This window comes from Homo sapiens, chromosome 17, assembly GCF_000001405.40.
Source record: "Homo sapiens chromosome 17, GRCh38.p14 Primary Assembly".
Classification (NCBI taxonomy): domain Eukaryota; kingdom Metazoa; phylum Chordata; class Mammalia; order Primates; family Hominidae; genus Homo; species Homo sapiens.
The window spans coordinates 1,028,249-1,054,137 of NC_000017.11; the positions used below are offsets into that span (position 1 = coordinate 1,028,249).

Below are 25,889 nucleotides of genomic sequence, written 5' to 3' on the forward strand. Positions count from 1 at the left end.
CCCGGCTATTTTTTTTTTTTTTGTATTTTTAGTAGACACGGGGTTTCACCATGTTGGCCAGGCTGGTCTCGAACGCCTGACCTCAGGTGATCCACCCGCCTCTGCCTCCCAAAGTGCTGGGATGACAGGCGTGAGCCACCACACTTGGCTAATTTTTGCATTGTTAGTTGAGACGGGGCTTCTCCATGTTGGCCAGGCTGGTCTTGGACTCCTGACATCAGGTGATCCAAGAAAGGGACCTTCTTCTAAGACCATCATGAGCCTGAAGCTTCCCCGAATGGCCCAAGAGGGGCTCTCCACCCCGCCCTTCCTCAGGTAACACCTCTGATCCTCTCTGAAGCAAAGGCAGCAGCTCCCATCACAGAACACGGGACTCACCGTGGGGGTCAGCAGTGCCGGTGTCCAGCTTAAGAGGAGCTCTTTGGAAGTAGGGGATTCTCAGACCCACATGGCTGTGCTTCAGGGCAGAGACAAGGTCACCTGAAGCTGCACTCAATCTCCTTACACCCTGCCGGCTCAGCCTGAGTCCCCACCGCCGGCCAGCATCTGGCCTGGTCTGGGTCAGGAGCGTCTTGGACTTGGTTGCTCTATAAGGGCCTCAACTTCCCCGACAGACAAATGCTTCTGGACCGGCCTCCCTTCAGGCCCTCTTAGCCTCCTCACGGCTCCCACAAGGGGATGCTGCGGGGGCAGGGTGGGGGGGTTCCTCCTTCAGCCCCTTCCCCTCCAAAGCTCAAGCGAGAATCTAGAATTCAGCCCCTTCCCATCCAAAGCTCAACCAAGAATCTAGAAGAGGGAAGGATGGGAGGGAGAGGAAGGCACCGGGCCTGGTCTACTTGAGTGTGATTTGAGGCAAAAAAAAAAAAAAACAAACAGGGAAAAGGAAAGAAAAGTAGAAACGCGAAGTTCAATACCGAGAGCCCTGGCTGAACCCACAAACCCAGATGCCACGTGTCTCCCAGCTAAACACTCGCACAAAAAGCTGACTGCCAAGTCAGGGGCTGGAATGAGGCTTTGGCCCCTGAACTCTCCTCCGGTGACAAGAACAGCCCAACCACAGGGACCCCCGCTGGTACCCAAAGGATCCTCCGTGAGTGTCCCTGCCTCCTCTCCCCCAGAAACCAGAGGCCCTGCACTATTTAAAGGCTCAGTTCTGATCATGAGACCTTTCCATCTGAACAGATTGTTTAATCCCAGCCCTGGATGAGTCACGCCCCGCCTCCAGCCTTTAATGAACCTTCAGGTCAGTGGAAGCAGGAGGGCCACCGGTGTTTCTCGCACCCACAGCATCACTCAGGGCAAAGTTAACGAGGAGTTAATGAGGCAATCCCTCCTGCCAGTCTGGGCAGTACCAGGCACCCTTCCCTTACCCCACCGAAACGAAACTGCCTAGTCCCAGCCCCTCGGCCCAACTGTGAAGCTCCTGCAGGAAAATGCCAGGTTAATGTGGCTGAGGATAGAAAGCAAGAGGCCTGGCCCTTTGACTCTGCTGCTCACCCGCTGGCCTGCGCACAGTGAGGTGGGAAGCACAGGGCAGACGTCCCTCCGTCCACCACAGCGCTGACCCGTGTCCACGACACGGACACACTGTGGCAGACGTCCCTCCGTCCACCACAGCGCTGACCCCTGCGTCCACGACACGGACACACTGTGGCAGACGTCCCTCCGTCCGCCACAGCGCTGACCCCTGCGTCCACGACACGGACACACTGTGGCACACAGCACACGTTAGGGGATGGAATCGCTCGTCACACAGAGCAGCCCAGGGCCGGGGCCACCCTGAGCTGCACTGACGCCAACTGCTCAGCAGCTCAATAGCCCGGCGTCTGCCTGGCCACCACCCCTGCCCAGAGATCCCCATCAGACACGGAGCCACCAGGCACTGCCAGAGGCAAACCCAGCTAAGGAATTCTTGAAGGGGCTTCTCAGTTCTGCCGGCCACAAATGCATAGGGAAAGAACTGAAAGTCTGGGACCTCAGGTTTAAAAGTTGCCCCCTGCCCACCAGGCACCTCCTCAAAGGGGCAGGTAAACTGGAAGCGCCCTGTTTGGCTGGCGCTGGACCCGGAACCTGCCAGGTCAGTTTCTTGCCAACCCTGACGTTTGGGGATGGATGGTGAGCTCTGGGCTGGTGCCTGCTGGCCTCAGCAGGGGCTGGGGAGGGGATGAGTCCACGCTGCCGGGCACAGACAGCTGCCTCAGCACAGAGGGGCTCTGGCAGCAGCTGGGGCCAGCAGGGCTCTGCTAGCCCAGTCCCCAGGGAGGCTGAAGGTGACACAGGGGCCAGTGCAGTACAGCTCAAGTTGCTGCCCTGCCCAGCACTTTCCAGGGCTGATGTCACCTCTGGGAGGTCAAGTATGCCCCATGGCAGGAGCTGAAACAAAACGAGGGGCCAGTGAGCCCAAGATCACTTCGTCCTGGCTGATGCCAGGAGCCTCAATGCCGGCTGGCAGTAAGAGCCTGCAGAGAGGTCCTGTGAGCCTCAGGAGGAGCTGCAGATCCCCACCACGGACTGGCCAAGGCCTCCCTTGTTGCTCTCTTGATGGATGGGCCCAGCCCTGGCCAGCCGGACTGGCACTCTGAGACAGCTAACTCGGACAGTTGATTTGATCTGCAGAGTTATCGAGCACTTCCTGTGCGCTGGGCGCTGGGTCTGGCTCTTCCTCACGTGCCTGATGCCAGGGCCCCAAGCCAGCCCCGAGGCAGCCTGCCCAGCTGCAGGACAGTCGGCTTCTATCTCAGATTTTAATCCCAACTCAGGTCTGGGGCTGCAGGGGCACCGGCGGTCTGCCCTGGCACATGGACGGAACGCCTGGTGCCCGGCGGGCACTGGGCCCACAGTCAGATGGGTGGTCCCTGAAGGGAAGCCTCGAGCCCCCAGACCCGGCAGCATCTCCCCTCCCCACAATCCTGCACAGAGAAACCTCACACGGCAGACGGTGCTGCGGTCGGCGCCCCTCAGCAAAGGGGCAGCCAGCAAGGCCCGCTGGATGCAGGGATCAGGTAGAGGCTGAACAGGGCGGCAAGACATAGACCCAGAGGCAGGCGTCTCCCCGTGCGCTGTTTGCACTCCCGGAGTGGAAAGCAGGGTCCACCTGCCGAGAAGAAACCTCCCTTCTCCCGAGGCAGGGGCAGATGCCCGAGCGCCAGGGTCCGGGTGGGGGCGGCCCCAGCGTTCGCCATCAAGTTCAAGCCACTTAGAGGGACGCGCACAGACCCCAGCTCTGTCCCGGGACTCCACGGAGGGGGCGGGAGCGGGACCCCATCAGCCCCCGCAGCCCCCGCAGCCCCCCGAGCCCCGCAGCGCCCCCGAGCCCCCACCCCCCGGAACCTCCAGCCCCCGCGGGCACCTTGTTTCGGAGCAGCTTGTTGCGCACGCGGCCCCAGAGCCGGGCGCCGGTGTTGGGGGGGCGCTTGCTCCCCGACTCCTCCAGCGCCAGGGGTTCGCGCCCCGCCTTCGGGCTGCAGTCGGGCTGGGGCAGGACGTCGGTCATGCCGGGGGGGACGGGACGCGGCGCTGGAGAGAAGGCGCCTGTGGAGCGCTCAGTCCCGGCTGCCAGTCCCGCTAGTTCCCTAGTCCCGCCGGCTTTCCCCGCGCTCGCCTCCCTCCCTCCCTCCCTCCCCGCGCTCCCCTCCCTCCCTCCCTCCGTCCGCGTCCCTCCTCCCTCCTCCCTCCTCCGCATCCCTCCTTCCCCGCCCTCCGCGAGGCTGCAGCCCAGGCTGAGCGCCGCCTCCCAGGCCCAGGGCCGCCCCTCCAAGCCCCAACCCCGGGTTTCATCCCTGGCAAGGGCGCTGCTCCTCCCCGACCCCGCCGCCCTCCCTCGCAATAAAGTTTACACCAGCCCCACACCCCAGTCCCTCCCTGCTGGGTCCCCGTGTTGCCCACCGGGCTGCTCCAGGGGCCAAGCGGAGGGGCCGGGGGCCAGGCGGGGGCTGCATTTTGGCCACAAACAGCTGCCCTCCTCCCCGGGCAAAAGACTCTGACTGCCCTGGGGTCGCACTTCCCCACCCCCAACTTCTGCCCCAGGCACCTTCCTCAGAGCCAGCTTGGTGACCCGGCCAGACCCTTGTGGACCGGCACTCAGAAGCCTCCTCAGGTGAGAAATGTAAGGATAAAGGAGACCCCTAGTGTGGGAATCCCAGTGGGAATCGGGTCACTGATCTGCTCAGGGACAGGAGCAAAAGCCCGAAACGACGCGGGTCACACGTCCAGCCAGAGATGCCTCTTGAGGGGTCACTTTGAACCATGGCCCTTTGCACCTCACCAAAAAAGGTTTCCGCTGCCAGGGGCAGAGGACGCCACGGGCAACCACCCGCGTCCGTGCTGGGCGCAGAGGACGCCACGGGCAACCACCCGCGTCCGTGCTGGGCGCAGAGGACGCCACGGGCAACCACCCGTGTCCGTGCTGGGCGCCTTGAGAGAGAGAAGAACTTGTTCTTGACCTTCAATTTATTTAGTGAACTTTCTAACCGCAGAGACTAGGACACAAATTACGTCTCAAGGTAACAGTGCAAGTTAGAGTACGGTATTCAGAGAAAAGAGAAAGGCTGAATCCCAAATGTTTAACTATGCAAAACCCAGGGGTGTCTGGGGCCTCGGACCTCTGCAGACCCCAGCACGGCACAGAAAGGAAACCAGTATTTGCACCGTGGCAACCGCGAACCAGGTCTTTCAAACGCCCGACTGCATGTGAGCCTCACATTCTTGTCATGTTGGTGTTACTGCCCTGTTCTAGAGAGGTGAGGACAGGGGGTCAGGAGGTCCAGTTCTTGCCAGGGTTACACAGTGCCAAGTGAGGATGGGGAGGTCCCTCCAAAGCCCTTGGTGCTCACAAGCACTGTGCCTTACTCAAACATGGATGATGCTTTGGATTCAGGAAAAAGAGCTGGGTCAGGACATTTCTTGGTTGACCCCAAGGCAGGTGGGTCGGGGCCCAGAGACGAGCCCTCGGCATCCGGCGTCACCAGCCAGGCAGGTGTCGGGATTTCTCCTCAGAGGCCTTGGTGTTTTTGAGGAATAGGTGGCTTCCCTGCAGAGACAGCCGTAGTCAGAGCTGTCCTTCGTGGAAGGCTGGCAGGGACCAGGCATCATGGATTAAGTCACTTACCCCTCCCAACTGTATGAAGTCAGTACCAGCATCCCCGCTTTACCTCTGAGGAAACGAAGGGCTCTGACAAGCTGAGCTACGTGTCCAAGGCCAGGACAAGCTGGAACACAAACGGAGGTCTGGCTAACTCCAAAGCCCACACCCCTGTCACTCACTGTGATGCCCTAGTGTGGCAGGATCTGGCCCTGGACTATCTTCCACCTGGCTGGTGGAGGGGGGCCTTGGGGCGTCCTGCCTGGGCTAGAACCGGGCCTCAGTCTTCACTGTCCCTGCAGGGGCGGCCAGACCAGCTCCACTTCTTCCTGGCTCACACGTCACACGCACCCCTGGACGGTGCACACGGAACTTCCTCAAACCTGAGCTGCTAAGTGGGGGCTGAGCCACAACAGCCTCACCAGCACCGCCTGAGGGGGAGGTGGAGAGACGGACGGAGGTAGGAACATGCCTGTGTCCCCTAACTGAGGCCTCAGTCACCCTTCTCCACCCCTCCTTCGCCTGCCCCTTCCAGGGCTCCAGGAGGACCCAGACAGCCCCTTCACACAGCCACAAAGCCATCTCCTCCAGGAAGGCTCTGCTCACTCCTCAGGCCCCACTGCTTGGTCCCACTCATGTCATTTTTTTTTTTTTTTTTTTGAGGCAGTGTCTTGCTCTGTTGCCCAGGCTGGAGTGCAGTGGTGCAATCTTGGCTCACTGCAGCCTCCGCCTCCCCAGCTCAAGCAACTCTCCTGCCTCAGCCCCTTGAGTAGATGGGACTACACACACCCACCACCACGCCCGGCTAATTTTTGTATTTTTCGCAGAGACGAGGTTTCACCATGCTGGCCAGGCTGGTCTCAAACTCCTGACCTCAGCCTCCCACAGTGCTGGGTTTACAGGCATGAACCACTGCACCTGGCCCCACTCATGTCACTCTAGAGGTAGTGACTGAGGGCCTGGCTGCGTGCCCGACCCTGGGGTGGGGGTTAAGGCATCACAGAGACGAATCAAAAGTCAGTGCTTGACAAAGGGGCAGCCAAGAAAGCAGAGATGTCCATCAACAGGAGGCAGACAAGCATTTGTGCATTTGGCACGGGTCACTTGTGCACCTACTAGGCACCACGCCCAGATGGACAAAACCCGCACAAAATCCCATATTACGGCCTCAGAACAGGACAGACAAAATGCCACGAACATCGAGAGATACAATTTCCAGCTGGAGGCAACTGGGGAAGGCTTCCTGGAGGAGAGGGGTCAGCGTGGGGCCCTCGGGGCTGTAGGGAAAGGCCATCCACCCTCACTGGGTCCCAGCTTTACTCTACCTCCCTCCAGCAAACGTGCAATGGCTGTCATGTAACTGGCTGGTAGGATGCCATTATAACTGCTCTCCACGTTTGCGCCACAGTGCTCCTGGTGCCGTGACTTAACTTCAGAATCGGCCCCTCACTGGCCTATGGTCCCCTTCCCTCGGGCTGGGTCCCAGGCCACAGGGTGCAGACTGCGAGAATGCACGCCCCTCCCTGCCGCCGGGTGTGGGGGAGAAGGGGGCCGTGTGAATCCCGTTCCCAAGGCCCGGCACTCATCTGTCTTAGGTACCACAGGCTCAATACTTGTCTAGGTAAAGCAAGCTCGGACTGGATGAACGATGGCCAGCTGGTCTCCATGGTGACATAAGTGCCTTCGCAGATGGGTAGCCGAGTTGGGAGTCTTCCCCTGAGACGCTCATCTTTCCCTTCCTCCCTATGGACTGGGGGCTTCCTCTGGGGACAGCGCAGACTTGCCTTCTCTCCCCCAAGCCCGACTCATTGCTTCCTGGAGTCAATGGTCTTGGGTGGAAGAAGATCTGTGCAAGACAGATGTCCCCAGCAAAAGCAGAAGTCTGAATTCTAGTCGCTGCAGCCCACCACGGACCCCTCCTCATCTCTGCTGGGTTCAGCTCAGGCTATCCCAACCACCTGGGAAGGGGCCACTCTCCTTCCTCCCTCACTCCTTCCATCCCCTAAACCTGCTCCCCCCCACCCCTTCCACCCCCTACACCTGCTCCCCCACCCCTTCCATCCCCCACACCTGCTCCCCCACCCCTTCCATCCCCTACACCTGCTCCCCCCACCCCTTCCATCCCCCACACCTGTTCCCCCACCCCTTCCATCCCCCACACCTGCTCCCCCCACCCCTTCCATCCCCCACACCTGCTCCCCCCACCCTTTCTACCCCCACCTGCTCCCCCCACCCCTTCCATCCCCCACACCTGCTCCCCCCACCCCTTCCATCCCCCACACCTGCTCCCCCCACCCCTTCCATCCCCCACACCTGCCAGAGCCCTCCTCAGACGACCTGCAAGACTCCCCCGGCTGGATAAACAGAGCCTGGTGGTAAGGCCCCCACGAACAGATGTCACTGCCTTTGGAATTAAAAACATTCCTAGTGGACCATCCCATCCTCCCTCAGCCCCTCCCCAGGCTCTCTGCAAGGGGAGTGAGAGGGGCTGTCCCCGGGGAGACGTGGGTGGGACCCCGCATTACACCTAGGGAGGGGGTCATGCCACCCAGCACAGCTGTGACTGAGGTAAAATCGGGTTAAGGTGTTCAGTGGCGGCATCAACGAGGAAAAAAGGTCACATCCTGCCCTGTGCGAGCGGGAGGGGCAAAGGCTGCAGTGGGGCTGCCTCGGTGACAGCTGGGGGTGGGGACGGCTTCCAGGCAAATCCTCCAGCCTGTGAGCACCAGGAGGAAGGTTCTGCCTCAGAACCTAGAAATGCAGCTGCCGCTTTCCTGGAGTGACCTCCTTTTTCCCACCAGAACGACGCTCCTCTCCCCCAGCCCACACTTGAACCCCGATTCCTCGTCCTATCCGCTAGCGCAAATGACTCCAGGAGAGGGGGTTTCTGAGCAGCCAGCTAGACCAAGGCCACAGGCGCCCCAGTGGGGATAGCCTGGGAGCCAGTTGGGGCGGGGAGAGCCCCAAGAGGCCGCCCAGAGAGTCCAGAGCCCAGGAGGAGCCTGGCACCCAGCTGAGGATGGGGACCGAGGGGATGTGGCTCAGGTCTGCCAAGAACACTCCCTCTCTCAGCACCAGAGGATCAGGGCACCGGCTGGGCATCAGAGGACCAGAGCTGGGGGACAAGAAGGTGCTGGAGGAGAGCAGGGCGGACCCGAGGCTGGGGGGCAAGAAGGTGCTGGAGGAGAGCAGGGCGGACCCGAGGCTTTGGGGGCTGCAGAGAGCCTGCCAGTGGCTCCTGCCCAAAGACAGGTGCAGGCTCCAGGATGAGAGAGAGACAAGCAGGCCGAGCATGGGAGCCCGGGGTGCCCAGCGCCCACACAGGGCGTGCGAGTTGGGCGGGAGGATGGCACGTTCCGGGGACAGCTGTGGGGGAGTGGGGACGGGAGTGTCCCCCAACTCGGTGGCTCTGTGGTCACTGCATTCTTACTGTGTGTTCTGACCATTTCCTGTACCGACCCTAACCAAAACCTGCGGACTGGAAGGCCAAATGTCTTCCCAGAATGAGACACTGAGACTCACTCTAGGTTTTTCTCCCCACCCATCGGATACCTCTGGGTATTTGCAATGTTCAGAGCCTGCATTCAGCCTGGGGACAGGAGTCACCCAGCAGCCAATGGCAGATTAGACCCTAGGAGCTATGTTTGTTTCTTTCTTTCCTTCCTTCCATCCTTCCTTCCTTCCATCCTTCCTTCCTTCCATCCATCCACCCATCCATCCATCCATCCACCCATCCATCCACCCACCCACCCATCCTTCCATCCATCCATCCATCCATCCACCCACCCACCCATCCATCCAGGTGGGGCTGGGAGAGGGGTCCAGGGTGGGCTCAAGGTTGAAGATGGGCACAGTGTAAGGAAGAAGGCAGTCAGGATGAAATCAGTTGCTCTACGGCCCAGACCTAGGCCTGCCCAAGGTAACCTGCTGTCCTCCCAACTCCCCAAAGGCCTGTGCCGGCTCATAGGGCAGTCCCGAGTACGTGCTGCTTCTCACACAGCTCCAGCCTCCCTCTGCCTGACCTCCAGCCTCTCTCTGGCCACGTCAGGCTGGTGTCGCCAGGGTGCTCGGTGGTTCTAGGTACGGAGGAGAGGCTGAAACAGCCCAAGAGCTTGTCTGCTGCAGGAGAAGTGTCCCGACAGCCCGTCCCTGGCAAACCCTAGCGATTCTCACAGCACATTTGGTCATGGAAAAGGGTGAAAAATGCACTTGAGCCTTTGGGAACATCTTGCTTATCTAGAACAAAACTCACCCAGGGACAGAGTGGGCAGGGCGTGGCCCCTCAGTATGCTGTCCCTACCGCTGGAGCCCCCCTGGGCTGCTTGCCTGCTCCTCCTCCCGGGAAGGAGGGGGTGTGGCCGGGTCTCCCAGCACAGCCATAAATTGCAGCCTGAGGCAGGAGGGGCTGAGGCCTGAAGGTGGGATGGGGTCGCCGAGCCTCCCTGCTCTTTCTTCATTCTGGATTCCCGAACACCTCCCTTCCACCCAAGCTCCGAGCTCATGGTGGCCAGAAGCAAAGCCCTGGGAGCCAGGGACCTGTGGACTCAACGGCTGTGTTTTTCTCTGGGTTCAGTTTCCACAGCTGTCAAATCAGGAGCTCGGAACAGACACATGGTCTCCGGTGAGATTTCTTTTCTGCTGAGGACGCACCCCTGCCGTTTTTTCCAAATGAAATTTTATGCCGACGTCTCCCTGCCCACCTCGTCGGATAAAAGCAGAAGCAGAGAGAGCAGGCGCCCTGGCTGAAGAGGGGACGTGGGGCCCACTGGCTCACACCTGCTTTTCCACCACCCCTCGCCTGCCTTGGGGCTCACGTCCCTCCCCGGAATTCCCACGCCCCACAGGCAGAATCTGAGGCACACCTCAGCGCCCCGCCCTCCTTTCAGGCATCTACAGCTCAAACCTTAGGTTCCCAGCAGCTCCTAGAGGCAGTTCTCCCGAAGGCCTCGCTCTCCCTCGGGGTGGGGGACGTGGGGGTCTGAGAGATTAGGGGCTTTGTAAGGACACCTCTGGGTCAGACGCTGAACCTGCAGCTCCAGTCGTGTCTCTGCTTCTCTCCCTCCTTTGGGAAACTCAGGGCTTTTGCTCAGTGGCTGTGGGTTCGCCCTGGCAGCCTCGAGAGGGGACAGCACCTGTCTAGTGGGTCAGGCGGGTGTGTCTGGGTCATCTTGCGTCTCCAGCCGCGCTAGGGTCTTTCCTGAAGCCAGGGCAGCTCAGCACTTGCCTCCGAGGGCGTGAACACGGTGTGCCCATCCCTCCCTGCCCCAGCCCAAAGCTACAGGCTACACTGGGGCTTAGACCCTCGCCCAGCACCACCAATGTCCACGCCCCCAGGCCACGGCAAGGGCGGGGCTGGCCACGAGGGGCTGCTGTGAGTCTGCGGTGGCCGCAGGCTTGAGGGAGGCCAGCAGAGCCCACCCTAAAGGTGACCCCCGCTCAGCATTCATCTGCAGCCTCAGCCCTAACTCAAGAAATTCTCTGGCAACCCTTCTGTGGCATCCTTCTCTTGAAGCTTTCAGAAAACACGGAAAGTGGGACAACCCTGGAGCTGATCCTTTGGATTCCTAGGAGGAAGCAGCAGCCTCCGCCAGCAGGGAGGTTAGCGGCTCACGGGGAGGAATCTATGTCTGCGGCTTTCGCCTCGGCGAGTTCGCTGAATGCCACGGACCCGAGAGGACACTCTCTGAAGGGTCACCCGAGGTTGGCCGGCTAAGATCAAACCCAGGTCCCGTGCCTCTGAGTCTGGGAGCCCGGCACCCAGAGCTGAGAACACCTTTTTTTGGTCTGTCGGGAGGCTGGATGTTCTCAGGGCCTGACTGCATCGGCTCCTGAGGTCCTGTCTGGACCGGCTTCTCTGCATGGTGCCCACCCTTCAGAGGCGGGTCAGGGGGAGCGGGCGCCAAGCCTGCCTGCTGAGGCGGCACTTCCCAGGGGTGGAGGGGAGCGGGGGGAGCCGACTCACACCTCCATCTGCTTCCTGCTGGATGCTTCCTGCCCAGAATCCACTGGGCAGAGTCCAGGCTCCCAAAATCAGGAACACCTGGGCGATGGAGGCAGCTGAGCAGGGCTGACGAGAGAGGTTCGTGCCCCACGTTTGGAAAAGCTTTCGACGGCAGGGCAGGCACTCTCGAGGGACCCTCCCCCGACTTCCCCCACCCAGGACAGTCTCTGCTGCCCACTCTCCAAGGAGAACCAGGCGTCTAGACCTGCCTTGAAGAGGGACAGCAGGTGGGAGTCTGGGCTGGAGAACAAATGTGCCCGAAACAGCTGGGGTGGGCAGGGCCAGAGCAGGACAATGGCTGCAGTCACGGGGCCCTGGGAGGAAGTGGAGAGTCAGCAGGAAGTAGAACCAGGCCTGGGGCTCAGCCTCCACGGTCCCTATGTGCCTGGGGAACTGGCACAGGGGTGGGGGTGGCGGCAGAGGGAAGAGCCCCACGTGGGCCAGCTGTGAGGGTGGCAAGCAGCAGGGAGGCGGAACTCCTAAGCCAGGAGCCGAGGCGGGGCCTGACATGCACTCCTGGCCTTGGCGGGCGCCGACGCGGGCTGATCTTCCAGGGAGAGGTCACTCCGGTGTCCCACGACAGGGAGCTATGGGGGCTGTGAGTGCCAGGGCAGGGGTTGGGGACGGGAGAGATGGAACCAAAGGGAAAGGCCTGTGTTCCTTCCCAGTTGAATCAAGGCCTCCCTCAGGGCCAGGGGCCCGGCTGTGGTCAGTGTGGCCCACGCGTGAGGCCTGGAACGGGGAAGCACTGAGGACCCACGTTACCGGCCGTCGATCATCTTCCTGGGAGGGGTCCCAGTACCACTATGAAGAACGAGAGGGGGCCGGAGCTGGAAGGGGCTCTGGGCTCACAACCCAGGGCCCCCAGGACGCACGCGCAGGACCCTCAGGCAGGGTCGAATGGGGACAAGACACCCCTTGGGGGTCAGAGGGAGGGAAGTGGGGCAGGGGAGCCCTTGACTCCTGCCCTGGCGGGCTCCGGCCCCACGTTCTCTGCAAGCTTCCTCGTGCTCTCCAGAGTAATTGAAACCAGAAGCTGCTCCCCAGCCGCTGACAAAGGCCCCTTGTTTCCGACCACACCAGGCCAAGCTCAGAGCTGCCGTGCTGGGTCATGGCAGGGAAACCTCGGGCCAGCCGGCATTGAGGGCCCCAGCCTTGACTTCCCCGCCCCTGCTATGAGGTTGGTTCAGCAAAGCCAGTCTGACCCCATCAGCTTAAGAAAATAATGCTGCCTCGGCCAGCCAAAGGCCCCGACCCAGGGGACCACTTATAGGTGACAGCCTTTAGGAGGGGGCTGCTGGACAAGTGACACCCAGAACCACTGGAAGGGGGTGGGGGACAGGGTGCCTGAACCCGCCAGCTTAGGGCAAACCACGTACTGACTCCATGCCAGGCCCCGGGTCCAGGGTTTCATGGACCCTCACATTCAGTCCTCTTACAGCCCATCTGACAGGTCAGGAAGCTGAGGCTCAGAGGCAAAGATACTCGCTCTGTTCTCCCAACTAACGATGGAGAAAGCTAGACTCAGCCCCGCAAGATCTGTCTGGCCTCAAAACCCCGGCAACACTGGCTAACGATCCAAGTTCTCGTTTTCCTTTTTTTGAGACAGAGTCTCGCTCTGTAGCCCAGGCTGGAGTGTAATGGCGCAATCTCGGCTCACCGCAACCTCCACCTCCTGGGTCCTGGTTCACACCATTCTCCTGCCTCAGCCTCCCGAGTAGCTGGGATTACAGGAGCGCACCATCACGCCCGGCTGATTTTTCTATTTTTAGTAGAGACGGCGTTTCACCATGTTGGCCAGGCTGGTCTCGAACTCCTGACCTCATGATCCGCCCGCCTCGGCCTCCTAAAGTGCTGGGATTACAGGCATGAACCACCGTGCCTGGCCTAAGTTCTCTTGTTTTCTTTACCAGACGGTGAGGTCCTGGTCATTCTTTGTACCCACAGCCCAGGGCCTGCCATTCAGAGGATGTATCGTAAACAGAAACAAGTGAGTGAACAGGTGAAAGCGTGGACGCACACGTCACAGCACCGACTGGCTCTTCCAGGTATGTGAGATCCTTTAAGCCAGTGCTGAAGGTGGGGTAGGAATAGTTACCCCCACTGAATCAATAAAGAAACTTGGCCGGGTGCGGTGGCTCACGCCTGTCATCCCAGCACTTTGGGAGGCTGAGGCGGGTGGATCACAAGGTCAGGAGTTCGAGACCAGCCTGGCCAACATGGCAAAACCCCGTCTCTACTAAAAATACGAAAATTAGCTGGGCATGGTGGCGGGCGCCTTTAATCCCAGCTAACCAGGAGACTGAGACAGGAGAATCACTTGAACCCGGGAGACGGAGGTTGCAGTGAGCCAAGACTGCGCCATTACACTCAGCCTGGGCGACAGAGAGAGACTCCATCTCAAATAAATATAAATAAGTAAATAAATAAAAGAAGAAACTGAGATGCCAAGAAGTCAAGGGACCAGAGGTTGTTCCCGCGGCCTCAGGGTGACTGCGTCTGCATTCGATGCACCTAAACCACTGACCAGGGGAGGAAAGAGCTGACCCAGGAAGAAGGGTGAAGGGGTCAAGGGGCAGGGACACTTGGCCGGGAGGGGGAGAGAAGGCCGAGGCAGGGGGCCCAACTGTGTGCTTCAACTACAGGAGACTAATAGTGACCAGTCATGCCCTAGGGTCACGGGTCCTGCTCATCTATTACAGCTGGGAGGCAGGTGGGGGACAGAGCTTGGGTCTGGAGAGAAGGAGGCTGTGCTGTCTCCATCCTCAGGGACAAGGTTCTTTTTCTCAACGAAAGGCAAGAGCGTTTTGGGTGGAAACAACCCAAATGTGCACGGATGGACGGACGGACAGACGGATAAACAGACATGGCACCTACATCCACGGACGGACGGATAAACAGACATGGCACCTACATCCATGAATGGATGGATAAACAGACGTGGCACCTACATCCGCGGATGGATGGATAAACAGACGTGGCAGCTACATCCACAAACGGATGAATAAACAGACGTGGCACCTACATCCACGAACGGATGGATAAACAGACGTGGCACCTACATCCACGGACGGATGGATAAATAGACATGGCAGCTACATCCACAGATGGACAGGCGGATAAACAGACGTGGCAGCTACATCCACGGGTGGGTGGACAAACAGATATGGCACCTACATCCACGGACGGATGGATAAACAGATGTGGCACCTACATCCATGGACGGATGGATGGGTAAACAGACATGGCACCTACGTCCACAGACGGATGGATGGACGAAGAGACGTGGCACCTACATCCACGGACAGACAGAAGGACAAACAGACGTGGCACCTACATCCACAGATGGATGGATAAATAGACGTGGCACCTACATCCACGGATGGATGGATGGATAAACAGACATGGCACCTACATTCACGGACGGATGGATGGATAAACAGATGTGGCACCTATATCCACAGACGGATAAACAGACGTGGCACCTACATCCACGGACGGACGGGCAGATAAAGAGACGTGGCATCTACATCCAGGGAAATTGTATCCAGCCTCAGAAAGGGAGGAAATTCAGACACACAACGGCATATGGGTGAAGCTCAAGGACATGAGGAGGACAAATGCTGTCTGATTCCACCTACGTAAGGTTCCCAGACTGGACAAATTCGTACAGACAGAAAGCAGGCAGGTGGTTACTGGAGGCTAAGGGTGCAGGAGTGGGGAGTTATGATTTAATGGGGATGGGGTTTCGGCTGGGGAGGGCCAACAAGTTCTGGATATGCACACTGGCAACGGCTGCACAGCACCAAATCCACCTATGGCCACGGAGCTGTGCACCCAAAAATTATTATTTTTTGAGATGGAGTCTCACTCTATTGCCCAGGCTGGAGTGCAGTGGCATGATCTTGGCTCACTGCAACCTCTGCCTCCCAGGTTCAAGCAATTCTCCAGCCTCAGTGTCCCGAATAGCTGGGACTACAGGCGTGCACCACCACGCCCGGCTAATTTTTTTTAATCTTTGTAGAGATGGGGTCTCACCATGTTGGCCAGGCTGGTCTTGAACTCCTGACCTCAGGTGATCCATCTACCTCGGCCTCCCAAAGTGCTGGGATTACAGGCGTGAGCCACCGCGCCCGGCCCCTAAAATTTATTAAAATGGTAACTTTATGTTATGTATATTTCACTACAATCTTTTATTTTTTATTTTTTTCAGTGGAGATAGACTCTTGCTCTGTCACCCAGGCTGGAGTACAGTAGCGCAATCCTTAGCTCACTCTAGCCTCCTTAGCCTCCCAAGTAGTCCACAGCTACACCACGTGAGCTACTATGCCTGGCTTCTACCACTATTTTTTCTTTAAAAAGAATAAAGGCCGGACGCGGTGGCTCACACTCCCTTCCTGGCCTGGAACCTGCCCCTCCCACCACAGGGTCTTCAGCGCTGCTGTGCCCAGGGAGGGGCTGCCCTGGCAGGCACGTGGGGAAGTGGAGCTGCCTCCCAGGCACAGGGAGCAGAGGTGGACTGTGGGGTGGGGGCTGTCCCCAGCCTGCGGTGAGCGAGGGAATGACGCAGGGCCGGGGGGCGGGCAGGGGGTGCAGAGGGCCCCTCAGGTTTAAGTAGCTTCTTGGTCTCAGGCCCTTCTCCAGTCTGGGGACGCTGGCAGAAACTGAGCTGTGGGGCCCCAAGGGAAAGCGCTCTCCTCAGGCCCAGCCCGCCAAGAAGGGCCGGACCCTGGGAATATGCTAATCAGCTAGCGGGTAGGTTGCAGCTGGAGCGGCAAGGCTGGAAATAGAGTAGGATAAACACAGTGGAGTCCCCTGGGACCAGGAGCCAGGGCAGACTACGCCGGGGGCAGGGGCAAGAGCCGGTGGAGGGGGGGCTCCCAGCTAAGCGGACCTGGATGGGGTCCCTGAGTCTGGGGCCCTTGTTCACCCACTAACAAGCTCTGTGACCGCGGCTGCCTCGCTCACCCTTGCTGGTGTCCATTTCCTTCTCTCCGGAAAACAGGATTGGATTAAACGCCCTCTAAGATTTATTCCAGGCCGGGTGCCGTGGCTCAGGCCTGTAATCCCAGCACTTTGGGAGGCTGAGGTGGACAGATCACCTGAGCTCAGGAGTTTGAGACCAGCCTGGTCAACATGGTGAAACCCTGTCTCTACTACTACTAATAAAAATCAGCTGGGCATGGTGGTGGGCGCCTGTAATCCCAGCTACTCGGGAGGCTGGGACAGGAGAATGGCGTGAACCTGGGAGGCAGAGGTTGCAGTGAGCCAAGATTGCGCCATTGCACTCCAGCCTGGGCAGCACAGCAAGACCCCATCTCAAAAAAAAAAAAAATACCTCTTCCGGCCAAACCCCCAGGAATCCCCTCCTTTTATTCATTCCTTCTACTGGCCTTGCTTGCAGCTCCCCGCCACCCCTGCTGAGGCTCCTGACTTTCCTGGGACCCTCCCTTCACATTCGTGCCTCCCTGCCAGGCGGGTCTGTCCTCCAGAACTCCCACCCTACTCCCTTCTGCGGAAGCGGAGCCTGCGCACCTTGCTGGAATAACACAGAGCCTTAGCATAGCAATTGCGCTGGCCGCTCTATACCAAGATTTCTACAAAGAATATAAAGTACTTTTAACAAAGTATCCAAAAAGGTGCTTAAGAAGACTCCATACAGCTCTAGAGAAAAGGAGGTTTATAATAATCCATGAAAACAGAAAAACAGACAAAACAGGCCCTGATTAAATCTACATAAAAATGTGTATACCTCAAGAAGGGAAAAGGCACAGAATAAACTGGCTGCTTCGGAGGAGCCGGAGGAAGGATGGTTTCTGATTAGGTTTCAAGTCTCTTTGCTTCTACTGCAATTTTCTTTCTCATACAAACATTGCTTTTGGAATTAAAAAACCCAGGGCTTCCAAATCGCTCTCGTTCCACCTCCTCCTTGAAGCCTCCCTAATTCCAGCCCATGGTGACCTTTCTGCCTCTGAATTCCTGCGGGACAATCTTCCATCTTCTTATAGCAGGACAATCTTCCATCTTCTTACAGCAGGACAATCTTCCGTCTTCTTACAGCAGGACAATCTTCCGTCTTCTTACAGCAGGACAATCTTCCGTCTTCTTACAGCAGGACAATCTTCCGTCTTCTTACAGCAGGACAATCTTCCGTCTTCTTATAGCAGGAGGCAGCAGGACATCTAGAAATGGGCTCTGCAGCCAGCTGCCCGCCCTGGCCCACTCCTGGGCACATGGCCTTGTCCGGGCTCCTTAGCCCCAGCTTCCTCATCTTTCTAGCTGTGATGATATTCCTCTCCCACAGGGTCCTGGGAAGATCTCCTGAGACAGCAGATGGAAGCATTTAGCACCGTGCTGGGCTCGTCCTGGGCTCGCTTATGTGTGTACGGCTATTGTGGCTGACATCTAGCATTCTTCTCACTGGAGAACATGGACCAATATACTCGTCTTTCCAATCTGACAGTGGGTCCCTGGAGGCCAGGACCCCCTCCTGGGCTGGGGACCTCACAGACGCATGCTAAGTACCCCTCCTGCTGTTTTCTTTTCTTTTTTTTCCCCAGACAGAATCTCATTCTGTCTTGTCCAGGCTGGAGTGCAATGGAGCAATCTCAGCTCACTACAACCTCCACCTCCCAGGTTCAAGTGATTCTCCTCCCTCAGCCTCCCAAGTAGCTGGGATTACAGGTGCCCGCCATCACGCCTGGCTAATTTTTGTTTTTTTAGTAGACACAGGGTTTCACCACGTTGACCAGGCTGGTTTCGAACTCCTGACCTCAGGTGATCCCCCCGCCCTGGCCTCCCGAAGTGCTGGGATTACAGGCACGCACGACCACCCCTGGCTAATTTTTATATTTCTAGTAGAGACGGGGTTTCGCCATGTTGGCCAGGCGAGTCTCAAACTCCCGACCTCCTAATCCGCCCGCCTCGGCCTCCCAAAGTGCTGGGATTACAGGCGTGGGCCCCACACCCAGCTAATTCTTGTATTTTTAGTAGAAACAGGGTTTCGCCATGTTGGCCAGGCGGGTCTTGAACTCCCGACCTTGTAATCCGCCCGCCTCGGCCTCCCAAAGTGCTGGGATTATGGGCGCGTGCCACCACGCCTGGCTAATTTTTGTATTTTTAGTAGGAAAGGGGTTTTGCCATGTTGGCCAGGCTGGTCTCGAACTCCTGACCTCGTGATCAGCCCACCTCGGCCTCCTGCTCTTTCCCGCACGTGCTCCTCTCCTTCCTCCCAGGGGCACCAGGCACAAGTGTCCCCTGCCCAGAGGACTCCAAGACAAAGGACGCTCACCTTATGCCATAAAGCAGCACCTCAGCTGCTTCTCCAGGCCATTAGCCATGCCACGGCCCTCTGTCCGGGCTGGGGGATTCGTTGACAAAGGCCTGAGACGTGGGGACATGGCACAGAGGAGGGAACATGGCCTTTCCCACATACCATACGCAGAGATGCCTTGGCCAAGGTACTTAACCTCAGTACCCCAGTGTCCTCATCTGTAAGATGGGGAGGAGGGACTGTCATTCTCCCTGGAGGATCACGACAAGGATCACACGAGGAGATGGCATTTGGGAAGCGGCCTCCAGGAGCACAAGTGCTGGACACACATTGGTGACGCATGCTGCCGTCTGTCTGTCACTAAATGCTTCCCCCACCCCACCCCGCCGCTGAGACTCCTGCCCCACTGCCCCATCAGGCGACCCAGAGTGGGGGCCTCATCACAGCAGCAAATGCCTGCGCTTAGGCCGTAGGGCCCCTTGCTTTCTCTGGATGGGCTGCTGGGAGGGGGCTTAGAGAGAAGTGGGGGCCTCAGAGACTGCCCTCCTCCTCCTGCCTTTCCTACAGGCCCCCTGAATATCCCCGAGGGCTGGGCCCTATCTCAAAGCCACCTCCGACTATGTCCTCAGCGCCTGCTGGCGGGCAGAAAGACTGCATTCCAGAGGCTAGTGCCAGCTCCCTTCCTTAGATGTGTGGCCGGAGTGAAGGCAGAGACAAGCTGTGGGGACAGACCGTTCCGTGGCTCCGTGGGGCCCGGGTTCGTGGGAACAGCTCCGTGTGGACTCGTCACCCAGCCTGGCCATCCACGGTGGCTCTGAGGGCAGTCACGGGGCGAGACTTTCTAAGCCACAGCCCGCCCCTGGGGCATGCCTCCCCCACCAAAGGCAGGCTGGTGAGATGGTTCTGCAGCGGAGGGCCAGGGCCGGGCCTTGGCATGCTGAGTGCTGGGGGACTTCAAAGGCCTGCAGGGGACTCTGGCTCTGAACTGTCCGCTCACAGGCCCAGGTCAGCTGGCAGCAGGAAGGTTTATGTTTCTTTTAATATCAACTCCCAGGCATTTAACATTCCTCGAAGCTTAAACACAGAAACATTTTCCTTACCAGACTCTGCCTTCTGCTTTGCCAAACATAACCTGGCTTCCTCCCTCCCCCACTGCCTCCATCTGCTCCTGTCTCCAAGAGGCTTGCAGTGACTGATGGTGTGTTTCCCCCGGGGCTTGTGCAGCTGAGTGAGAAGGAGGGAAGCAATGGGGCTGAAGTCCAGGTGGGGGAATGTGCCCTCGGGCCTTGGGAGCTGAGTTCTCGAGGGGCTGGGGCCCACCGTGCCCACGGGGCTGGCTGCCCGGCACATCCTTGTAACTCTTCTATTCCACAGCCACCAGTGGCCCAGGGAGTGTGGCGTGGCGACCACTCGTCTCTTGCCTGGGCGTCTCCTGGGGCTGCACAGGCCAGCCCAGAACCCTTCCGTGCCTGTCCCTCTAGCCCAGCCCAGGGACAGGGAGATGGGGCTCCCTCCCCTTATCCCCACAGAGAGCAGGTCCCAGGGACTGAATCTCTAGAGCCCATTTCCTAAATCACGAAGGACTGGCTGGCAGTTGCCTGGCAGCCCTGTCTCCCTAGTGACGAGTACTGAGAAGCAGGGTGCAGACCCCACAGCATCGGAAAGAGACGTGTTTAGGAACACGGGGCGTATGCGGCAGAGGCCAGGCCCCTCCACGTGGGGCCCCTGGTTCAAACACTGGAGCCTGAGATGGGGCAGCGAGTGGGAGACCCACACAGCTCCCCAGGGGCAATGCTACCAAGGACCTGCAGGTAAGAGCCAGATACCAAACTCGGTGGCCATGACAATGCATCAGAGAACAAATGCTTCCTGCTAAAAAGCATCGTTCAGCTCCCTGTTGTAGACGGAGCCATCGCAGCCTGCGCCTGGATCACCTCTTGGGCCACGGTCAAGAAGCTCGGCGCCCAGCTGCGCCTGGATCACGTCCGGGGCCACGGTCAAGAAGCTCGGCGCCCAGCTGCGCCTGGATCACGTCCGGGGCCACGGTCAAGAAGCTCGGCGCCCAGCTGCCGCCTGGATCACCTCCGGGGCCACGGTCAAGAAGCTCGGCGCCCAGCTGCGCCTGGATCACGTCCGGGGCCACGGTCAAGAAGCTCGGCGCCCAGCTGCGCCTGGATCACGTCCGGGGCCACGGTCAAGAAGCTCGGCGCCCAGCTGTGCCTGGATCACGTCTGCGGCCACTGTCAAGAAGCTCAGCACGCCCAACGCCCGAGGCTCAACCTCAGTACGGGTCAGTTACCGTCTCCCTTCATTTCATGGTCACAGAATCTACCCCCAAACCAGACCACTTGCGGCACAGCACGAGGCCACACGAGGTACCAGACGGGAGTGTGAGCGGCTCCACCACGTCACGCCTTTTCCCGCTCCCAAGCCTACTTCTCTTAATAGGTTGGTGAATAGCAGCCATCTTCAAAATTGGCAGAATGTTTCAGAGACACAGGCTGCACACACAGAGGCCTTTTCCCTATATATGTTTATAGGGAGCCAAAAGCACAGTTGAGGCATAAATGCTGTTTTTATTTATTTTTATTTTTTTGGAGACACGGTCTGACTCCATCACCCAGGCGCGATCTCAGCTCACTGCAACCTCTACCTCCTGGGTTCAAGCGATTCTCCTGCCTCAGCCTACTGAGTAGCTGGGATTACAGGCGCCCGCCACCACGACCTGCTAATTTTTGTATTTTTAGTAGAGATGGGGTTTCGCCATGTTGGCCAGGCTGGTCTCGAACTCCTGACCTCGTGATCCACCCACCTCGGCCTCCCAAGGTGCTGGGATTACAGGCGTGAGCCACCGCACCCAGAAGCATAAATACCCTTAACCCGAGGTGCAGCCTCTACTAACACCCAGAGTCCCCACCCGAAGCCACAGACTCCCAACGCAGCTGAGTAAGGTCCGGCCACCCTAACAACAAGTCAGAGACCCCCCTCCCCCCAAGCCAACCAGCAGGACCCTAAGTCTTTCGGGCAGAAGAGCAAACGCCTGGTCCGTGTGCCTAACTCCGGTCCCCCGTCAATGGCAGACACGGCTCCTCACACACAGCATTCCTCCCTCCCGTTCACCGACGCAGCCTCTGAGTCCTTCTCAACATGGCGTTCCGGGAAACAACCACCCATAGACTAAAGCTGGCGTGTGAAAACAAAGCTGGTTGTTTCCATCTTGCAGAAGCGCAGATGACCCACCTGAGGAGCCACGCACACGCCTGGGCTTCCGGGGCCACAACAGGCAGCCACCTCTAGCAGGGAGGGGAGAACCACCTCCTGGGAACTTTCCTCCAACCAGCTTGGAACCAAAATCACGAAAGAGCAGGCTCCTTGACCAGAATTCCTTTTCAACTGGAACCACCTCCTGGAGGCTCCCTCAGCCTCGCCCCGGCGCCCTGGCCTCACCTGGATCTGTCCTTTGCCCATGATCTTGTCCACGATCTCATTGTTGTCCTTGTTGACCTTGGTCTTGTCATAGCACTTCTCATAGCACAGGATCCTCAGGGACTGGGAGCCCTCCAGCTCGATCTCAAACTCCTGGGGAAAGATGGGACAAAGGGCCCTGAACCTCCGAAGCTGGGAGGCCTGGCTTTCCGGCAGGTGCGTGCCTCAGCTTTGCAAGGAGGAGGGAGTAAGCACGGCCCACGAAGGACACGTCAGATTTTCTGGAGCTCCCAGAGGCCTCCCATCACCCCTGGAGTCTGGGGGCCTGAGCTGACACCACAGGGTCTGACACCCAGACACACACCGCGATCAGAAGCCAGAGGAGCAGGGAGCAGAAAGGGGGGTGCAGACATAGCTGGTCCAACCAATGGGCTGGCCGTCCCCAGCAGACAAGCCACGAGCACGGGGTGGTGGGGTCCCCACAGAGATGCCAGCCCCTGCCACTCACCTCATCCCACTTGGGCTCCGCTGTGTCCCGGAACACCCTGGTTTTGGCTTTGCTGACAAAATAGCCGAAGGAATCCACCTCCAGGGTACAGTACAGGTCTGTGGGGGAAGGACAGACGGAGATACTGAGTGAGTGGGGCCAGGGTGGGGCAGCTGGGGCGGCACTCAGGATGGAGGGGGACATCGCATCTGTCCTTTCCAACGTCCCCACGGATGGCATCTTGGCTCTCTCCTCCCTGAAGCCCGGGACCATCTGGCTTCTCCCCTGCCCCCTTCTTAGGGGCTCAGCCCTCCCCACCTCGGCTCACCCCACACTCTGCCCTTCCTACCTCAGCCCTCCCCACACTCTGCCCTTCCCACCTCGGCCCTCCCCACACTCTGCCCTTCCCACCTCGGCCCTCCCCACACTCTGGCCTCCTCCTCCCTCTAAAGGGCCCTTGACTGTTCCGTCTCCACATCTTCCTCACCATGGAGACGACACCACAAACTCTTCACTGACCGCCCTGGAGCCACCTCTCCCCGTAACATGGGTGCCCAGGCCTCAACAGCGGCATTTGGGGTGGGAGGCGTTTAGCAGCCCTGCCTCTGGGTCCTGAATGCTCGGAGCATCCCCTGCCGCGGTGACGACCAACAACGCCCACATCCCCAAGCCCAGGGTGCTGTGGTTTCCTCCGCTGCACTTAACATAAACCAAAGGGATCTTCTCTACTCGTGCGTCCCTAGTCTCTCTCCCCCCACGACGTAAACACCATGTGGAGAGAAGCCTGGGTTTTCCTGCCTGCCGGTGTACCCGCAGTACCAAGAACAGGGCTGGGAACCCAGCTGGCACACGGTGAACGAGGCTCCCACCACCACCAAGCGCTCCAGGTAACAAGGCAGTGGAGGGCTGGGGCGGGAGGGCAGGGCCGGGGGCTTTCCCCGGCATTTCCATCTTCCACCCTGGCCTTCAGGCTGAAAATCTACCTTGGGACCCAACTGCTGAGGCCACAGCACCGGCACGGACCCCAGGCCCTCTGCAAACCCACACCCGCCCTGGGCTCGGACCCCAGCAGTCCTCCCACCTCCAGGGAGATGCCGAGGTTGTTCCCAGGGTACCAGAGGTGGTGTGGGAGGTGCCTTTGGGACACTATGGCCAACCCTCTGCAGCGTGAAACAACGTCAGAGGTCACAGTGCGGGCATACAGTGCAGGTGGCTTACTCCACTTAGCCCCTGCAGCTGCCCAGCTGGGCCATTCTCCATCAGAACAGCTTTCCTGGCCGGGCAAGGTGGCTCACGCCTGTAAATCCCAGCACTTTGGGAGGCCAAGGTGGGCAGATCACCTGAGGTCAGGAGTTTGAGACCAGCCTGACCAACATGGTGAAACCCCATCTCTACTAAAAATACAAAAGTGAGCCCGGCGTGGTGGCACATGCCTGTAGTCCCAGCTACTCGGGAGGCTGAGGCAGGACAATCGCTTGAACCTGGGGTGTGGAAGTTGCAGTGAGCTGAGATGGCACCACTGCACTCCAGCCTGGGCGACCAAGTGACTCTTTCTCAAAAAAAAAAAAACCAAAAAAACCAGCTTTCCTGCAGAAAGGACAGTGCAGCTACCCCAAGAAGCCTCCAGCTGGAGCAACAGAAAGAAGACCCAGGTGGGCCTCAGAACACACAGAACGGGGCTGGGGATTTGCAGGTGAACAACACAGAGGCCCTGAGCACCCCAGCCTGGGCCAGACCAGGGAGTGGGCCTGTGTGTTTGAGACGGGCCATGAAGTGCTGTCATCATGGATTGATCTCGGTGTGAGCCCCTCCTCGAGGGGCTGGGGAGGGCTCACAGGGTCAGAGGGAGGGTTCCGGAAGGGGCTGGGGGAGGGCTCACAGGGTCAGAGGGAGGGTTCCGGAAGGGGCTGGGGGAGGGTTCACAGGGTCAGAGGGAGGGTTCCGGAAGGGGCTGGGGGAGGGCTCACAGGGTCAGAGGGAGGGTTCCGGAAGGGGCTGGGGGAGGGTTCACAGGGTCAGAGGGAGGGTGCCGGAAGGGGCTGGGGGAGGGGTCACAGGGTCAGAGGGAGGGTTCCGGAAGGGGCTGGGGGAGGGGTCACAGGGTCAGAGGGAGGGTTCCGGAAGGGGCTGGGGGAGGGGTCACAGGGTCAGAGGGAGGGTTCCGGAAGGGGCTGGGGGAGGGTTCACAGGGTCAGAGGGAGGGTTCCGGAAGGGGCTGGGGGACGGCTCACAGGGTCAGAGGGAGGGTTCCGGAAGGGGCTGGGGGAGGGTTCACAGGGTCAGAGGGAGGGTTCCGGAAGGGGCTGGGGGAGGGTTCACAGGGTCAGAGGGAGGGTTCCGGAAGGGGCTGGGGGAGGGGTCACAGGGTCAGAGGGAGGGTTCAGGAAGGGGCTGGGGGAGGGCTCACAGGGTCAGAGGGAGGGTTCCGGAAGGGGCTGGGGGAGGGGTCACAGGGTCAGAGCGAGGGTTCCGGAAGGGGCTGGGGGAGGGCTCACAGGGTCAGAGGGAGGGTTCCGGAAGGGGCTGGGGGAGGGTTCACAGGGTCAGAGGGAGGGTTCCGGAAGGGGCTGGGGGAGGGGTCACAGGGTCAGAGGGAGGGTTCCGGAAGGGGCTGGGGGAGGGGTCACAGGGTCAGAGGGAGGGTTCCGGAAGGGGCTGGGGGAGGGGTCACAGGGTCAGAGGGAGGGTTCCGGAAGGGGCTGGGGGAGGGCTCACAGGGTCAGAGGGAGGGTTCCGGAAGGGGCTGGGGGAGGGTTCACAGGGTCAGAGGGAGGGTTCCGGAAGGGGCTGGGGGAGGGTTCACAGGGTCAGAGGGAGGGTTCGAGAAGGGGCTGGGGGAGGGCTCACAGGGTCAGAGGGAGGGTTCCGGAACGGGCTGGGGGAGGGTTCACAGGGTCAGAGGGAGGGTTCCGGAAGGAGCTGGGGACGGCTCACAGGGTCAGAGCGAGGGTTCCGGAGTCAGACCATCTGGGTCCACACCCCAGCTCTGCACAGATCACCTCCCTTCTCTCCCCAGGTTCCTGTCTGCACAGCAGGAAAAGTCATGGTGCCTACACCCTGGGCCTGCCTGTCCAGAGGTCCTGAGTTTACCACGGCTGAAGACACAGGGCCTCACCTCTGAGTGAGAACAGACATATGAGTGGGTCAGGGGTGGCGGCGGCGAAGGGAGTGAGGATAATCTGGGGGTAAAGAGAGATTTTGGAGCAGCTCAGCCGGCTCTGACACCCGCCCAGGCTGGGAGGCCACGGGTCGGCTCCCTGAGGCGAGGACCTCCCGGCCAACGGGAAGCAGGAGAGGGAGGGGCGGCATCTGGGGACATGGAGTGGTGGCGCCTGGTCCAGACATGGGTGGGACAGTGCTTCAGAGCTCACTAGCCAGAAGCTCCTCAGCGGCAGCCCCCAAGAAGGGAGGTCTGTGGGTCTGGAGAGAGTTCAGGAAGCTTCCACGGTAACAAGCAGCCTGAGGGACCGTGTGGTGTTCCCGGCCAGACATCGAGAAGTGCCCAAAAGGTTAGAGCTCCGGCTCTGGTGCCGGAAGACGTGGATTCTGCTGCACCACCTGCTACTGTGTGACTCCAGGAAGGAACCTTGAGCCCCTCCGAGCCTCGGCGTCCTCGTGTGTA

The 25,889-nt window shown here is 59.6% G+C and overlaps 1 protein-coding gene and 1 long non-coding RNA gene across 8 annotated transcripts in view, besides 2 other annotated features; both read right to left on the reverse strand.

Moving 5' to 3' along the window:
* The window catches only part of ABR (ABR activator of RhoGEF and GTPase), a 226,204-nt gene that overhangs the window by 24,730 nt on the left and 175,585 nt on the right, over positions 1-25,889 (reverse strand). For 6 of the 7 annotated variants that reach the window (NM_001322841.2, NM_001159746.3, NM_021962.5 and 3 more), the window contains 2 exons: positions 22,289-22,386; positions 21,802-21,933 (listed from right to left, as the gene is read on the reverse strand). In NM_001322841.2, coding sequence (NP_001309770.1) covers positions 21,802-21,933; positions 22,289-22,386 — 230 coding nt within the window. Of the gene's footprint in view, positions 1-3,349; positions 3,584-21,801; positions 21,934-22,288; positions 22,387-25,889 lie in introns of those variants that run through there. The other variant, NM_001256847.3, reaches the window with a different exon arrangement.
* Positions 2,301-2,470: an enhancer, noted in NCBI's record as "experimental_47633 CRE fragment used in MPRA reporter constructs". NCBI's record gives its function as "activates a minimal promoter by MPRAs in K562 erythroleukemia cells, with activity observed for the introgressed 17:933874 variant allele {active_cell/tissue: K562}" and the evidence as "EXISTENCE:reporter gene assay evidence [ECO:0000049][PMID:34662402]".
* On the reverse strand, positions 4,432-5,734 carry LOC124903895 (uncharacterized). The gene is made up of 2 exons (XR_007065575.1): positions 5,108-5,734; positions 4,432-5,029 (listed from the first exon to the last, which is right to left on the reverse strand). It is a non-coding gene; the product is annotated as an uncharacterized LOC124903895 (long non-coding RNA).
* Positions 20,045-20,930: an enhancer, noted in NCBI's record as "H3K27ac-H3K4me1 hESC enhancer chr17:951533-952418 (GRCh37/hg19 assembly coordinates)". NCBI's record gives its function as "activates a minimal SCP1, AML or CMV promoter by ChIP-STARR-seq in primed H9 embryonic stem cells {active_cell/tissue: H9 hESC(primed)}" and the evidence as "EXISTENCE:reporter gene assay evidence [ECO:0000049][PMID:30033119]".